The sequence below is a fragment of the Homo sapiens genome, chromosome 14 (assembly GCF_000001405.40).
Source record: "Homo sapiens chromosome 14, GRCh38.p14 Primary Assembly".
NCBI classification, from domain to species: Eukaryota; Metazoa; Chordata; class Mammalia; order Primates; family Hominidae; genus Homo; species Homo sapiens.
This window is the reverse complement of record NC_000014.9, coordinates 76959573-76975910: the sequence shown is the minus strand read 5'-3', so window position 1 is coordinate 76975910 and position 16338 is coordinate 76959573. Positions and strand designations below refer to the sequence as shown.

Here is a 16338-nt window from a genome sequence, read left to right as displayed (position 1 = left end):
AAGTAGAGTTGGAGGGAAGATGAGAGAGGGAACCCAAACTAAACATTTGGCTTCCTCCCTACTCAAAGTTCTCAGCACCACTGTTTTGTATAAGAAACCCACAGACTGAGAAAACCATAAGAGTGTCCAGGCGGCCGGGCGCGGTGGCTCACACCTGTAATCCCAGCACTTTGGGAGGCCGAGGCGGGTGGGTCACGAGGTCAAGAGATCGAGACCATCCTGGCCAACATGGTGAAACCCCATTTCTACTAAAAGTACAAAAAAAAAAAATTAGCTGGGCATTGTGGCGTGCACCTATAGTCCCAACTACTCGGAAGGCTAAGTCAGGAGAATCGCTTGAACCTGGGAGGCGGAGGTTGCAGTGAGCCAAGATCGCGCCACTGCACTCCAGTCTGGCGACAGAGTGAGACTCCGTTTCAAAAAAAAAAGAAAAAGAAAACCATAAGAGTTATAAGAGAGGAAAAGCTCATTCAGTCCTTTCATTCAACGGGTATTTATCGAGCACCTACTATGTGCCAGGCTCCAGGGAGAACAGTGAGCAGATGACGTAGTGTTTGCCCTCATGGAGGCATCAACTTGAGGGGAGTGGAGGCCCTCTCTGGGGGCCTTTTGTGGCTTCCTGCCTTGCTTGGTGGTGAACAGTTGTCCCTGGTCCCAGTCTTCCACACCGGGGAATAGAGCAGAATCGAGCAGCTGTTCTGAACATTTGCTCTCTATGGAGCTCCCCGAGGCCTCACTTTCCACTTGTCCCCGAGCCTCTGGGCATTTACCCCTGGGGAAGCCGTCCCTCCCCATTCCTTCTTGCCTCCCTCTCTCTCTCCCCTGATTTTAGCCCTGGCTGGTGGTTCTCAGTCTTGGCCCATCAAGCCCATCAGCGTCCCTGTTGGAGCTTTCACTGAGCAAGGCCCTGCCCCAGGATGGTCTCCCTCTGGAGGTGCAGGGGCGGGACGTGGACTCTGGATATTTTAAAGCTCTCCGGGTCTTTCTGAGACAATTACAGATTGAGAGCTTGACCCCTGAGGAAAAGGCCCGTGGGCATTTCCCCCTGGATGACCTGGAGCTGTGACATACAGAGGGGTGGGCCCAACAGGTTCAGAGGTGGACCAGCTGTGGGGCTGATTTCACTCAGGTGGGGCAGTGAGAGGCAGGGACCCTCTGCTTGCTCCTCAGGCCACTCCTACAGCCCTTTGTTCCCTGAAGGCTGCAGAGGGATCTGGGGCAGAGCCTGAGTTCAAGGAGGAGAAGGTGGAAGAGAATAGACATAGAGCAGCCCCAGCTTATTTCTCTCCTTTCCCTCTTTAGTCTTCCTTATCTTTCAGGGCACTGTTCAAATTTCATCTCCTCCAGGAAGCCTTCCCTGATTGCCCAGATCAAAACCAACCAATCAATTCCTCATAGGGCTTCCACGAGTATTTCCTTTTGATTCACTATTTTTTTTTTTGAGACAGAGTCTCACTCTGTCACCGAGGCTGGAGTGCAGTGGCACTGTGTCAGCTCACTGCAACCTCCATCTCCTGGGTTCAAGCAATTCTTCTGCCTCAGCCTCCTGAGTAGCTGGAATTACAGGCGTCCACAACTGCGCCCAGCTAGTTTTTATATTTTTAGTGGAGACGGGGTTTCACCATGTTGGCCAGGCTGGTCTTGAACTCCTGACCTCAGGTGATCCACCTGCCTTGGCCTCCCAAAGTGCTGGGATTACAGGTGTTAGCCACTGCGCCCAGCCTCATTTTGTATACTTGATTCATTAAATTTGGATTCGGAAATGACTTTGAAGTTGATCCACTCTCATTCTGCTTCAGGCAGGCCCATAGTACATGCCGTGGATGTGCACACCTCACCCCAAAGCCAGAGCCCCAGGTACCTGAGGCCACCTACAGCTGGCCTAGAGCTCCTGAAGGACTGGGATCTCGGCAGCTCTCTTGAACCCCTCTGACTGCAGTCCAGTGCTAGGGCTCCAGCTGCTGAAGCCTTTCACCTGTGGGAACCAGGCGACGCGTTGCCCCATCCCTCCTTCAGAAGCTGCAGCCAGAAAACCTGCAGCAAGATTCTAGGCAAAGAGCCCTTCCTAGGCCAGGAACAGTGGCTCACGCCTGTAATCCCAGCACTTTGGGAGGCTGGGGGGGCGGGGCGGGGGTGGATCACCTGAGGTCAAGAGTTCAAGACCAGCCTGACCAACATGGTGAAACCCTGTCTCTACCAAAAATACAAAAAAAAAAAAAAAAAATTAGCCAGGTGTAGGGCGGGTGTCTGTAATCCCAGCTACTTGGGAGGCTGAGGCAGGAGAATTGCCTGAACCCGGGAGGCGGAGCTTGCAGTGAGCCGAGATCACGCCACTGCACTCCAGCCTGGGCGACAGAGTGAGACTCCGTCTCAAAAAAAAAAAAAAAAAAAAGAGCCCTTCCTGTAGATGTGCAGGGCCAGATGATCAGGGCCCCGCCTGGAAAAAATTATGGAGCCCCTCCCCTCAAATGTAATGCAAGAAAAACCATATCAAAAAATAAAAAGCCCAGGCTGGGCATGGTGTCTCACGCCTGTAATTCCAGCACTTTGGGAGGCCGAGGCGGGTGGATCACCTGAGGTCAGGAGTCCAAGACCAGCCTGGCCAATATAGTGAAACCCCGTCTCTACTAAAAGTATAAAAATTAGCCGGGCGTGGTGGTGGGCACCTGTAATCCCAGCTACTTGGGAGGCTGAGGCAGGAGAATTGCTTGAACCCAGGAGATAGAGGCTGTAGTGAGCTGATACGGTGCCATTGGACTCCAGCCTGGGAGACAGAGTGAGACTCCGTCTCAAAAAAAATAAATAAATAAAATAAACAAAATAATAAATAAAATAAAAAGCCCAATAAAGAATGTGATTTTTAGCCGGGCACAGTGGCTCACACCTGTAATCCCAACATTTGGGAGGGTGAGGCAGGCAGATCACTTGAGGTCAGCAGTTCGAGATCAGCCCAGCCAACATGGTGAAACCCCATCTACTGAAAATACAAAAATTAGCTAGGCATGGTGGCACGTGCCTGTAATCCCAGCTACTCGAGAGGCTGAAGCAGGAGAATCACTTGAACCCGGGAGGCAGAGGTTGCAGTGAGCCGAGATCGCGTCACTGCACTCCAGCCTGGGCAACAGAGTGAGACTCTGTCTCAAAAAAAAAAAAAAAATGTTATTTTCTCCATGATGACTTTTTTGTTTCTTAAATATCATGTTCTAAAAACTTTTTCTTTGTTTTTTTTTCCTTTTTGTGGAGAACGGGGTCTCGCTATATCGCCCAGGTAGATCTTGAACTCCTGGGATCAAGCTATCTTCCTGCCTCTGCCTCCCTGAAAGCTGGGATTACAGGCATGAGCCACCGTGTCTGGCTCTCAAAATTTTTTCTCACTTTCTTTATTGTCCTGCTTTGCTGGTGACCTCAGCATGTATTACTCTGTGTATTGGGAAGTCCAGATTTCCGTGTGTGTATGTGTCTATGTGCACAGATACGTGCTGCATGCAAATATCACCCATACCTAGAAATGTACACACACACACACACACACACACACACACACACACACACACTCCATATTGACTAGTGGTTCTCAATTATGGCTGCATATTGGGAATACCTGGGGAGTAAAAAAATCCCAGTGCTCATGCTGCACCCTAATTAAAATAAATCAGTAGCCTTGGTGCGGTGGCTCATGCCTGTAATCCTAGCACTTTGGGAAGCTCAGGCGGGTGGATCACCTGAGTTCAGGAGTTCGAGACTGGCCTGGCCAGCCAGGCCAACATGGTGAAACCCTGTCTCTACTAAAAATACAAAAACTTAGCCAGGCATGGTGGTGGGCGCCTGTAATCCCAGCTACTCAGGAGGCTGAGGCAAGAGAATCGCTTGAACCCGGGAAGCGGAGGTTGCAGTGAGCCGAGATGGCACCATTGCACTCCAGCCTGGGCAACAAGAGTGAAACTCCAAAAACAAACAAACAAACAAAAATAAATCAGAACCGCTAGGAGCAGGACCCAGGTGTCAGTAGCTTGTAAATCTCCCCAGATGATTTCAATGTGTCATCAAGGCTGAGAACCACTGATGTAAACTGCAGCTTTCCTGACAGAATTCCTTTACTGAGCAGTTAACAAGAGTTGCATTCAGACTCAGAAACTGTTAAGAGACTGCACTTGGAGAGTAGCGGGCAGTAAAATGAAAAAACGCTTGGCCTGGATGCATTGTTCTCACCTGCAAAGTGAGGCTATTGGACAAGACCATCTGTGGAGTCCCACCCGACTCTTAGAAAATGCTTTGATTGCAGTATGTCCAGGAAGGAGAGAAAGAAATACACTGTTCAAGCAGAGGCCAGGCCCCTCTCTAGAGGCTGATGCGCGCTGGAGTTCTGAGCATCTACTGCACCATAGCTGCTTTTCTTTTTATCATGGGCATAAACCAAGGGCACCCTTGCCCACCTCCTCACTGGACAAACAGCAGCCAATCTGAGCTGCTGGGGACCAGCGATTAGGGAGGGATTATTGAGTGTGGTTCACAGGGGACCTGGAGTCTTGCAGCCAGCTCAAGAATCTGAAGTCCAGACCGAACGCAGTGGCTCACGCCTGTAATCCCAAAACCCTGGGAGGCTGATGGGGGCGGATCACCTGAGGTCAGGAGTTTGAGACCAGCCTGGCCAACATGGTGAAACCCCGTCTCCATTAAAAATACAAAAATTAGCCAGCCGTGGTGACGGGTGTCTGTAATCCCAGCTACTCGGGAGGCTGAGACATGAGAATTGCTTGAACCTGGGGGCAGAGGTTGAGCTGAGATCGCGCCACTGCACTCCAGCCTGGGCAACAGAGCGGGACTTTGTCTTAAAAAAAAAGAGTCTGAAGTCCAAACACAACGAAGGGTAGAAGGATTAGATAAGGCTGTGCACGGAAGGGGGCGTGAGCTGAGGGAACAGGGACAGTGGGCCTTTGGCTGCTTGGACTGTGAAAAGTTTATTTGTTAATTACAGCTTGAGTATCCCTTATCTAAAATGTGTGGAACCAGGTTGAATTTCAAAATATTTGCATATACATAATGAGAGATCTTGGGAATGCAACTGAAGTCTAGCCATTAAATTCACTTAGGTTTCACATACACATAGTCTGAAGGTGATTTTATACAATGTTTTTAATAATTTTGTACATGAAACAAAGTTTTTGACTGCATTTTGACTTCAACCCATTACATGCAGCCAGGTGTGGAATTTTCCACTTGTGGCATCATGTCGCCATTCTCGCCATTCAAAATCTTTTGCATTTTAGGCAGGGTGCGGTGGCTCCCACCTGTAATCCCAGCACTTTGGGAGGCCGAGGTGGGTGGATCACCTGAGGTCAGGAGTTCGAGACCAGTCTGGCCAATATGGCGAAACCTCTTCACTAATAAAAAATATATATATAAGGCTGGGTGCGGTGGCTCATGTCTGTAATCCCAGCACTTTCGGAGGCTGAGGTGGGCAGATCACGAGGTCAGGAGATCGAGACCATCCTGGCTAACACAGTGAAACCCCGTCTCTACTAAAAATACAAAAAATTAGCCGGGCGTCATGCGGGCGCCTGTAGTCCCAGCTACTCAGGAGGCTGAGGCAGGAGAATGGCGTGAACCTGGGAGGCGAGCTTGCAGTGAGCCGAGATCATGCCACTGCACTCCAACCTGGGTGACAGAGCAAGACTCTGTCTCAAAAAAAAAAAAAAAAAAAAAAAAATATATATATATATATATATGTATATATAAATTAGCCAGGCATGGCCGAGCACGGTAGCTCATGCCTGTAATCCCAGCACTTTGGGAGGCCAAGGCGGGTAGATCACGAGGTCAGGAGTTCGAGACCATCCTGGCTAACACGGTGAAACCCATCTCTACTAAAAATACAAAAAATTAGCCGGGCGTGGTGGCACGTGCCTGTAATCCCAGATACTCCGGAGGCTGAGACAGGAGAATCGCCTGAACCTGGGAGGCAAAGGTTGCAGATCATACTACTGTACTCCAGGCTGGGTGAGACTCCATCTGAAAACAAAAACAAAAACAAAACAAAAAAATCTGTTGCATTTGGCCGATCGCTTTGGCTCATGCCTGTAATCCCAGCACTTTGGGAGGCCGAGGTGGGTGGATCACGACGTCAGGAGATCGAGACCATCCTGGCTAACATGGTGAAACCCTGTCTCTACTAAAAATACAAAAAATTAGCTGGGTGTGGTGACGGGTGCCTGTAGTCCCAGCTACTCGGGAGGCTGAGGCAGGAGAATGGCATGAACCCGGGACGGAAAAAAAAAAAAAATCTGTTGCATTTTAGAATTTTTTTTTAAGATTTTTTTTTAAATGTAGAGACAGGGTTTCTCCATGTTGGTCAGGCTGGTCTCGAACTCCTGACCTCAGGTGATCCGCCCACCTTGGCCTCCCAAAGTGCTGGGATTACAGGCGTGAGCCACCATGCCCGGCAAAAGTAAGGTCTTCTTAAAGTAAAAATTTGAACAATATTGACGTATGCAGATAATAAATGAAAATTTTCCCACTCACCAGGTCCTCCCTAATTCTACTTCCCTTTCTCACCATTTTGGTGTTTATCCTTTCAGGCAATTTTCTTTCTTTCCCTTTTCTTTTTAAGTTCAGCTTTTTTTTTTTTTTTTTTTTTTTTTTTTTTTTTTTTTAGGAGCTGGGATTACAGGCATGCGCCACCATGCCCGGCTAATTTTTTTATTTTTAGTAGAGACATGGTTTTACCACTAAGTTCAGCTTTTGATCGAATATATTATAAAAGAGGTTTAGTCAGAAAGACCAAAGCCCATGTCATCATCAGAGTCCTCAAATTCTTCTTTCTTTGCTTCCATTTTCTTCTCCTCAGCTGGAGCAGCAGCAGTGGAGGTGGGCAACCAAGGCAGAAATGGGCGTACGCATGGAGGAAGAATGGAGAGAGTATGCGCATTCTTGGCTGACCACGGTGGCTCATGCCTATTATCCCAGCACTTAGGGAGGTTGATGCGGGTGGATCACCTCCTGCTGGTGCAGCACCAGCTGCTGGAGCAGGTCCTCCAGCCCCTACATTGCAGATGAGGCTCCTAATGTTGACATTGGCCGGGGCCTTTGCAAACAAGCCAGGCCGAAAAGGTTCAACATTTACACCAGCTGCTTTAATGAGGGCCTTGATCTTATACTCTGTGACAGTCACCTCATTGTCGTGCAGAATGAGGGCTGAGTAGATGCAGGCGAGCTCGGAGATGGAGGCCATGGCGCGGGCGAGTGTGGGACTGGCGCTGCCGGACGCAGTGCTAGTCACTGGATGAAGTGAGGGCCTCACCTCAATGTGTCCTTAGCTTCCTCGGAAGGACCGAACACCTTGGCAGCAGCTGAGGAAAGCTCAGGCAATTTTCTATATGCTTATGTTGTGTGTTTTGTTTTTATTGTTTTAAAAAACTTGGGTCGTATTCTACAAATTATTCTGCAAATTGTTTTATCAACAGTGTACCATGATCTCCTCTGTGCCTGTTCCTAAGTCAGAGTTACTTTTGTTTTTGAGTCAGGGTCTCACTCTGTCACCCAGGCTGGAGTGCAGTGATGCTATCACAGCTCGCTGTAACCTCAAACTCCTGGGCTCAAGTGATCCTCCCACCTCAGCCTCCCAAGTAGCTGGGACTATAGGCACACACCACCACACTTCGCTAATTTTTAAATTTTTTTTGCACAGACAGGTTCTCAATATGTTGCCCAGACTGGTCTCGAACTCCTAGCCTCAAGCAATTCTCCTGCCTTGGCCTTCCAAAGCTCTGGGATTACAAGTGTGAGCCGCCATGCCTGGCCCAGAGCTACTTTTTTCCTTTTGGCAGCTGTTGGAGTTCCATGGCCTCTGACCATTTACAGGAATGCTGTAGCCAGTGTACTTGTTGAGCTATTTCTGTAGGATACTTTCCTAAAAGTGGAGTGGTTAGTTCTGGATTGTGGTCAGAGGTGGGCAACCAAGGCAGAAATGGGCGTACGCATGGAGGAAGAATGGAGAGAGTATGTGCATTCTCGGCTGACCACGGTGGCTCATGCCTATTATTCCAGCACTTAGGGAGGTTGATGCGGGTGGATCACCTGAGGTCGGGAGTTTGAGACCAGGATGGACAACATGGTGAAACCCCATCTCTACTAAACATACAAAAATTAGCCGGGCATGGTGGCATGTGCCTGTAATCCCAGCTACTCGGGAGGCTGGGGCATGAGAATTGCTTGAACCTGGGAGGCTGAGGTTGCAGTGAGCCAAGATCCGCACCACTGCGCTCCAGCCTGGGTGAAAGAGAGAAACGCATCTCAAAAAAGAGAGTCTTACTGTATCCCCCAGGCTGGAGTGCAGTGGCACAATCTCCGTTCACTGCAACCTCCGCCTCCCGGGTTCAAGCAATTGTCATGCCTCAGCCTCCTGAGTAGCTGGGATTACAGGCGCCCGCCACCACACCCAACTAATTTTTGTATTTTTAGTAGAGATGGGGTTTTGTCACGTTGGCCAGCTGGTTTCCAACTCCTGACCTCAAGCGATCCGCCCACCTCAGCCTCACAAAGTGCTGGGATTACAGGCATGAGCCACTGCGCCCGGCAATGGGATGGATTTTATCCAAATGTCCCCCAAAAAGCGCTGTAGTCCCACCTGCGTACCCTCTGCCTTAGAACCTCATCAATGCTGGGGATACTAACCCTTTATATTTTTCCCAATGTGAATGGAGAATGTGAACAGGGCTTAAAGAAAATGTAAACGGTACCTAAAATGCAACCCTGTGGGGCTCTGAGTTGGCCGGCAGGGTCCTGTTTTCCCAGGTGGGATGAAGTGGGGAGTGAAAGGGGAGTGATTCTGGTCTTCAACATGCCAAGTGGGAGGAAGAGGAAACACTGGCAGGGGCTCCAGGTGGTTGTGTGTGTGTTGGCAGGTGAGGTGGGGGGGTTTAGTGACAAGGGGAGCATGAAGGGATTATCCATGCCAGCCCAAGGCCTGGGACCCAGCAGCCCACTGAGGGAGCTAGAGAGGCAGGAGAATGCAGTGGGAAGGATGCGGCCACCTGAAGCTAGACTGTCTCAGTTCAAATCCCAGTGTCACCACTTACTTGCAGCATAATTTTGAGCAGGTGATGTAACCCCTATATCTTCCATTTCCCCATCTCTCTTTTTTTTTTTTTCCGTTTTCTGAGACTATGTCTCTCTCTGTCACCCAGGCTGGAGTACAATGGTGAGATATCACTGCACTCTCTGCCTCCTGGACTCCAGTGATAAGCGATTCTCCTGTCTCAGCCTCCCGAGTAGCTGGGACTTGGGACTACAGGCGTACGCCACCACACCCAGCTAATTTTTCTTTCTTTCTTTCATTTTTCTTTCCTCTTTTTTTTTTTTTTTTTTTTTTTTTTTGAGACAGAGTCTCGCTCTGTCACCCAGGCTGGAGTGCAGTGGTGCGACCTTGGCTTACTGCAACCTCTGCCTCCTGGATTCAAGCAATTCTCCTGCCTCAGCCTCCCGTGTAGCTGGGACTACAGGTGCCCGCCACCAAGCCCAGCTAATTTTTTTTGTATTTTTAGTAGAGAAGAGGTTTTACCACGTTGGCCAGGCTGGTCTCGAACTCCTGACCTCAGGTGATCCACCTGCCTCGGCCTCCCAAAGTGGTGGGATTACAGGCGTGAGCAACCATGCCTGGCCACGCTGTCTATTAAATAGGGCTTGAAGAAGTGGTCTTCCTCAGCCTCTAGGGAGAGGATTACTGGCAAAGTTTAGAATGGTGCCTAGCAATAAATGTTAGCCTGGAGTGAGTTTCCAGTTGGCAAACCATCCTCCACCCCAACACACACCTTCCTACTCCCCTTCTATAGGGTAACCACTATTAACAGTTTGGGGTATGTTATTCCAGACTCTTGGAAACATCTAATCACATGGACTTGTGTGTGCATGCAGCTGCCTGTGACAGTTAAAAGCTCACTTAAACGAAATGGAGTTTCAAGGCTCAGAAACTGTGCAAGTCCAGATATAATGCTGACTTTGATCAAGACTTGACTCAGCCATACAGCGTCCCCACAGACCTGGGTCTCTGTCGCTTCTGTCTTTTGATGTCTGAACTTTCTCTCGAGATTCCATTAGGTGTGTGTGTTCTTCCCCTTCCTCAGCTCCATGGCCTTCCCTCATGGGACAAAAAGCCTGCCACGGTCCTAGACCTCCATCCTCAAACCACAGGATCCAAGGGAAGGCAGAATGCGTCCTCTGTAGCTTGGATGGTTCTGTGGGTCTAATTGTTCATCTGACAATCACTAGGTCTATGGTCTTGGCCGTACCCATTTTCTTTATCTGTAAAACGAGGACATTAAACTAGAATGTTTTAAAGAATCTCAGGTTCTCTTGTGCTCTAGAGTTCGTGCCCTGATTGAAGGTAGTTTATAGCCATGGGAGAGGTGGCTTTAGCAGGAAATGGCATCTAGAAAAAGGGAGGGGAGGAGAGGGCCTGGAGGGCCCCACCTTGCACACTGGCAGAACATACCCAGGTGGGTGGTGTTCAGATCTGGGCATGTCTGTCTCTGGGAGCCAAAAAACTGGATTGTGGTTGGAGGCAGGCAACCGAGGCAGAAATGGGCCTGGGGGTGGAGAAAGAAGAATGGAGAGAAGTGGGAGCGTTTAATCTGGGGAAGAGAAAGACAGGGGTCGTGGAGGGAGGTGGCAGTGCTGTGGGTAAAGGCCTCCTGGACTGACTCTGCAGCGGGGTGAGGAAGGACTGGACACAGTCACTGCGGCCCCTGGGGAAGCAAAGGAACAGTGGCTAGGATTTACAGTGCTTTATTTTGGCACAAAATTAGAAATATTTCCTTAAAAGATTTAAATACATTTAAATAACACTTTGCCAAAAGGTAAAAAGATCACAGAAGAGGATATTTGGGGCCCACACTGCTCCTGAGAGCCGGCCTAGCCTTAGGCTCCTCCCCCAGCCTGCTACTCCCAGGCTCAGAACCAAATGCTTTTTGTCACTCTCCCTCCGCCACCACCACCACTGAAACAGTGCTCACCACTGTTCTCACCTACCTGGCCTTTCAGCAGCATGCCACACCATCGGCCACACCTTCTCCTGTGAGCTGGGTTTCCCCCCACCCACCCTCTCCAAGTGGTCCTCCGTGGACTGCTCCTTCTCTGGTCCTTTGCTGGGGTCATTCTCTGTCAGTCACCTCTTTTTTTTTTTTTTCTTTTGAGACAGAGTCTTGGTCTGTCGCTCAGGTTGGAGTGCAGTGTCGTGATATCAGCTCACTGCAAGCTCTGCCTCCAGGATTCAAGAGATTCTCTTGCCTCAGCCTCCTGAGTAGCTGGGATTACAGGTGCATGCCACCATGACCCGCTAATTTTTTGTATTTTAGTAGAGATGGGGTTTCTCCACGTTGGCCAGCCTGGTCTTGAACTCCTGGCCTCAAGTGATCCACCCACCTCGGCCTCCCAAAGTGTGGGGATTACAGGCGTAAGCCACCGTGCCCAGCCTCTGCCAGTCATTTCTATCCTGCGTTTCCCTGGCTCGTGTCCCAGGCCTTTCAATCATCCCATCTTCTCACTCTATACCCTGCCTCCGTGTGTACATGGTGACCAGACTAAAACCCTATCCCAGGCCCCTGTTTAGGGTCTCAGACCACCATAGCCAATGGCCTAGTGTCCCACAGACATCTGGAATTCAGCCTGTCCCAGAGGGACCTTGTTGTCTCCTCTCTCTATCTATCGCTCTTCTTCTTCCAACTCTTCCTCCTGTAGGGAACAGGGGGGACCATGGTTTGTGCAGGAAACCTGGAGTCATCCTTCCCTTCTTCCTTTCCTCTAACCTCCATATCCACAATCCTGTCTCCTAAATATATCTCTCATGTCCATTCACATCTTCCCACTGCAACAACCAAACTCTTTTTTTTTCTTTTTTTTTTTAGACGGAGTGTGGCTCTGTCGCCAGACTGGAGTGCAGTGGAACCCTCTCAGCTAACTGCAACCTCTGCCTCCTGGGTTCAAGCGATTCTCCTGCCTCAGCCTCCCTAGTAGCTGGGACTATAGGCGCGTGCCACCATGCCCAGCTAATTTTTGTAGAGACGGGGTTTCACCACGTTGGCCAGGATGGTCTCGATCTCTTGACCTCGTGATCCGCCTGCCTTGGCCTCCCAAAGTTCTGGGATTACAAGTGTGAGCCACCACACCCGGCCTGTAACAAACTCTTGACGGGTCTCTCTTTGTCCAGTCTTGCCTCCCACTTCCATTTATTATGTCTCTCTGGCTTGAGGCCCTTCCATGGCTGTGTATGGAACACCCCACACCCCTCACCCCCCAGCCACCAGCCATCTGAATGGACTTCCTCCTCAGCCAGGGCAGTCTAAAATTTAACCTGAAAGACTGGTTCAGGCCATGAAGGGAAGCCAAGCCTCATTATACCCCTAACATCAACATCAACACAAACCTTATGTCTGATAAGAAACATTTACAGTCCATTCTCTCGAAAGCCTGCTACTGGAGGCTTCAACTGCATGATAAAACCTAGGTCTCCACAACCCCTTATCATAGCTCAGAGATTCCTTTCTGCTGACAATAACTCTTTCAACCAATTGCCAATCAGTTTATGTTCAAATCTAACTATGACCTGGAAGCCCCCCACTTCGAGTTGTCCCGTCCTTCCAGATCGAACCCATGTAAATCTTTTTTTTTTTTTCTTTGAGATGGAGTTTCGCTCTTGTTGCCCAGGCTGGAGTGCAATGGCGTGATCTTGGCTCACTGCAACCTCTGCCTCCCGGGTTCAAATGATTCTCCTGCCTCAGCCTCCCGAATAGCTGAGATTACAGGCATGCACCACCACACCCAGCTAATTTTTTTGTATTTTTAGTAGAGATGGTTTCTCCATGTTGGTCAGGCTGGTCTTGAACTCCCGACCTCAGGTGATCCTCCTGCCTTGGCCTCCCAAAGTGCTGGGATTACAGGCATGAGCCACCGCGCCCGGCCAGAACCCATGTAAATCTTACATATATTGATTGATGTATTATATCTCCCTAAAATGTATAAAAGCAAGCTGTACCTTGACCACCTTGCGCACCTGTCTTCAGGACCTCCTAAGGCTGTGTCATGGGCTTGTCCTTACCCTTGGCAAAAATAAACTTTCTAAAGGGACTGGGACCTGTCTCAGATATTTGGGGCTCACAAATCTCCATCACCCTCAGGACAAAATCCAAATGGCTGAGCAGAATTTCAAAGTCCTTTTGGGTCTGGCTTCTTTCCACCTTTGGGGACCCCAGCTCCCTGCACTCCCTCCCACCCTGTGAGCTCCAGCCAGCCTCACCCAAATGGCACCACTCACAGGCTGTTCGCTTGGCCTGGAAAATCTCTTCCTTGCTCATGGCTGACTTCAAGTCATCTTTCAGACCTGGATCCAGCTTCTCTCCCTCCAGGGAACCCTCCCTGGCTCCCCAGGGCTGGCTTAGCTGTGCCTCTCTGTGGGCTTGTCAAGAACCATGTGTTCAATGGCAGAGCCTTCATCCATGTGTTTTATCACTTGATTGCATCTCTGTATCCCAGGTTTCTAGAAGCTCTGTATGAGCAAGAACCTTGCCTGTCTTGCACTGCATTCCTAGAGCCTGGAACAGAATGCATTTGATAAATATTTTTGACTATTGATGAATCGAGACTTTTGACGAATTGGGTGCAGCCCAGGACTTGGGCAATAGCCCCTGCCTTAAGAAAGGACCAGGGCTCAAGCTCTAGGGTGAGAAGCTGAAGCTGACAGAGAAGTGAGAGTGACTAGAAAGTGAAAGTAAAGCTGAGCAGGGAGGAAAGAACCCCACGGTGTGAAGTCTCTGGGGGAGGGACCAGGCCAAGAGTTCATTCAACACAGTTGAGTGAGGCTCCTGAGGAAGCCGACGGGTGCCGGGATAGGCGGGGGATGTGTGGGCGGGACAGCGAGCTTGACGAAAACGAGAGAAAATGTGTTTTGTAATTAGTCATTGCCCCCTGGGGTGAGGTTGGGAGTTTTCACCGGAGGTGGGTTGACCAGATTTGCAAAATGACAAACAGGGGCTAACCGCGGGCTGGGGCCGCAGCGGGGCTTCCGGCCCCGCAGGCAGAAGTCGAGCTTTCTAGTTTTTTCTCTGTCCCGCCCCCCTGCATTCAAGGTTCCGCCAAATAGTAGAAACTGGGAGGAGAAAGACTCTCAGGAGACTGCCCAGGGGCCAAACTGCCCTTTCTGACTCCGGCCCCTGCGCTCTGCGTGGTCTCATGGCCAGGGGAAAGGGGACAGGGTGGCCCTTGCTACTTGGAAGGGTCCATCCAAGGATTTTGACTGACTTAACGCTGTGGAGGTTCTGGGGAAAGTTGAAAACATTCTGAAGATGGGGGATCTGGATGAAAGCTACCATCCCTCTTTTCCTCCTAATGAAAATAGCAGGCTGGGTGAGGTGGCTCACGCCTGTAATCCCAGCACTTTGGGAGGCTGAAGTGGGCAGGTCACCTAAGGTCAGGAGTTTGAGACCAGCCTGGCCAACATGGTGAAACCCCGTCTCTACTAAAACTGCAAAAGTTAGCCAGGCATAGTCTCAGCTACTCAGGAAGCTGAGACAGGAGAATCACTCGAACCCAGGAGGCAGAGGTTGTAGTGAGCCGAGATCGTGCCACTGCACTTCAGCCTGGGCGACAGAGCTAGACTCTGTCTAAAAAAAAAAAAAAGAAAAGAAAAAAAAATAGCAAAGGGAATGGAGCACATTTCGGTGTGAAGGTGTGAAGCGTATGGAAAAGTGGAGGTCAGTGGTTCCCCTACAGGCACTCCTGGGGTGCTGCAACCAAATGCTAGGACAGAGACCCCCACCCCCACCCCACTGCCGACACATACACAAAGGGCACACTTTGGTCTCCACTCCTCTATTTTCCAGAGCAGTGGCTTTCGAACATTTGAAATCAAGACCTGCACTAAGAAATGCGTTCCTATCTCAACCCATTACTCAGACAAGCATACTACCCTGAGGCAAAAACTTTATGAAATTAAACGTTCCTTTTAACCTGCACTTCTATTCTTACATTCTCTTCTATTTCCTTTTTTTAAAAAAAATTCTGGCTGGGCGTGGTGGCTCACGCCTGTAATTCCAGCACTCTGGGAGGCCAAGGCATGCGGATCACTTGAGGCCAGGAGTTCGAGACCAGCCTGGCCAACATGGCAAAACCCCGTCTCTACTAAAAATACAAAAAATTAGCCAGATGTGGTGGCAGGTGCCTGTAACGCCAACTACTTGAGAGGCTGAGGCTGGAGAATCACTTGAACCCAGGAGGTGGAGGTCAGTGAGCCAAGACTGTGAAACTGCACTCTAGCCTGGGCAGAGACTAGAGACTCTAGCCTGGACAGAATGAGACTGTCTCAAAAACAAACAAACAAAAAAATTCTGTGTATGACTATGATCCCTTAACTTGATTTCATGACCCACGAATGGATCTCAACCTACAACTGGAAAAACCCACTACTCTGGAGGAGCTGATTCCGTACTCTGCTGGATCTTCAATTCCTGACCGCTGGAAATTGGCTGCAATTTTCCTGGTGAGTTCCTCCCTCCATGTTCTCCTCACTAATACACCCTACACCAGACCTCCAGTCCTAAAAGCCACCACCTGCTTCACGTCACCACACCTGTGCCAATCAGATTTCCTCTGTTCCCTCTTGGACCTTCAGGGACCTCCAGGATAAATGCCAGGATCCCAGTTACTGGCAGACTGAGAGAAGGATGACAGCCCCAAAAGATCACGAGGTTCCTATCTGTTCATATTTGGTGGGCAGCTTTCGTCTGCAAGAACAAAATACAAGCCGGGTGAGGCGGCTCACATCTGTAATGCCAGTACTTTGGGAGGCCGAGGCAGGCGGATCACCTGATGTCAGGAGTTTGAGACCAGCCTGACCAACATGGCGAAACCCCATCTCTACTAAAAGTACAAAATTAGCCAGGTGTAGTGGTGCATGCCTGTAATCCCAGCTACTCGAGAGGCCGAGGCAGGAGAATCGCTTGAACCCGCGAGGCGGAGGTTGCAGTGAGCCGAGATCGCACCACTGCACTCCAGCCTGGGCGACAGAGAGAGACGCTGTCTCAAAATAAATAAATAAATAAATAAATAAATCAATAACAAAATACATAACTCAAGCAATTTAAACAGTGAGGGGTAAAACTGAAATCACATACCAGGAAGCCCAGAGGTCTGCGGTTCCAGGGTTGGTAAATGAAGTGACCACTCTATGTCTATTTCTCTCTTGTCATTGACACCCTTTGGAAGTGTCTTTTTCTACCTTAGTCTCAGTATGACAAGAGTGCTATGTCAGGGGGCTTTTGTAGGTAGCAGAAGGGAAGGGTGAGGCCAGGGTTT

At 49.7% G+C, this 16338-nt stretch overlaps 1 long non-coding RNA gene and 2 pseudogenes across 1 annotated transcript, besides 8 other annotated features; 1 reads left to right on the top strand and 2 right to left on the bottom strand.

Moving 5' to 3' along the window:
• Positions 4680 to 5181: an enhancer, noted in NCBI's record as "H3K4me1 hESC enhancer chr14:77437073-77437574 (GRCh37/hg19 assembly coordinates)". NCBI's record gives its function as "activates a minimal SCP1, AML or CMV promoter by ChIP-STARR-seq in naive H9 embryonic stem cells {active_cell/tissue: H9 hESC(naive)}" and the evidence as "EXISTENCE:reporter gene assay evidence [ECO:0000049][PMID:30033119]".
• Positions 6669 to 7209: an enhancer, noted in NCBI's record as "OCT4-NANOG-H3K4me1 hESC enhancer chr14:77435045-77435585 (GRCh37/hg19 assembly coordinates)". NCBI's record gives its function as "activates a minimal SCP1, AML or CMV promoter by ChIP-STARR-seq in primed H9 embryonic stem cells {active_cell/tissue: H9 hESC(primed)}" and the evidence as "EXISTENCE:reporter gene assay evidence [ECO:0000049][PMID:30033119]".
• On the bottom strand, positions 6728 to 7356 carry RPLP1P1 (ribosomal protein lateral stalk subunit P1 pseudogene 1; annotated as a pseudogene).
• On the top strand, positions 8146 to 8393 carry RN7SL356P (RNA, 7SL, cytoplasmic 356, pseudogene; annotated as a pseudogene).
• Positions 10109 to 16273, bottom strand: LINC01629 (long intergenic non-protein coding RNA 1629). The gene is made up of 3 exons (NR_133913.1): positions 16158 to 16273; positions 13304 to 13580; positions 10109 to 10296 (listed from the first exon to the last, which is right to left on the bottom strand). It is a non-coding gene; the product is annotated as a long intergenic non-protein coding RNA 1629 (long non-coding RNA).
• Positions 13726 to 14125: an enhancer, noted in NCBI's record as "active region_8782". NCBI's record gives its function as "activates an Ori minimal core promoter by ATAC-STARR-seq in GM12878 lymphoblastoid cells {active_cell/tissue: GM12878}" and the evidence as "EXISTENCE:reporter gene assay evidence [ECO:0000049][PMID:35858748]".
• Positions 13731 to 14025: an enhancer, noted in NCBI's record as "tiled region #14350; K562 Activating DNase unmatched - State 1:Tss". NCBI's record gives its function as "activates a minimal TATA promoter and a strong SV40 promoter by Sharpr-MPRA in K562 cells {active_cell/tissue: K562}" and the evidence as "EXISTENCE:reporter gene assay evidence [ECO:0000049][PMID:27701403]".
• Positions 14136 to 14185: an enhancer, noted in NCBI's record as "active region_8781". NCBI's record gives its function as "activates an Ori minimal core promoter by ATAC-STARR-seq in GM12878 lymphoblastoid cells {active_cell/tissue: GM12878}" and the evidence as "EXISTENCE:reporter gene assay evidence [ECO:0000049][PMID:35858748]".
• Positions 14230 to 14765: an enhancer, noted in NCBI's record as "NANOG-H3K27ac-H3K4me1 hESC enhancer chr14:77427489-77428024 (GRCh37/hg19 assembly coordinates)". NCBI's record gives its function as "activates a minimal SCP1, AML or CMV promoter by ChIP-STARR-seq in primed H9 embryonic stem cells {active_cell/tissue: H9 hESC(primed)}" and the evidence as "EXISTENCE:reporter gene assay evidence [ECO:0000049][PMID:30033119]".
• Positions 14236 to 14445: an enhancer, noted in NCBI's record as "active region_8780". NCBI's record gives its function as "activates an Ori minimal core promoter by ATAC-STARR-seq in GM12878 lymphoblastoid cells {active_cell/tissue: GM12878}" and the evidence as "EXISTENCE:reporter gene assay evidence [ECO:0000049][PMID:35858748]".
• Positions 14766 to 15300: an enhancer, noted in NCBI's record as "H3K27ac-H3K4me1 hESC enhancer chr14:77426954-77427488 (GRCh37/hg19 assembly coordinates)". NCBI's record gives its function as "activates a minimal SCP1, AML or CMV promoter by ChIP-STARR-seq in primed H9 embryonic stem cells {active_cell/tissue: H9 hESC(primed)}" and the evidence as "EXISTENCE:reporter gene assay evidence [ECO:0000049][PMID:30033119]".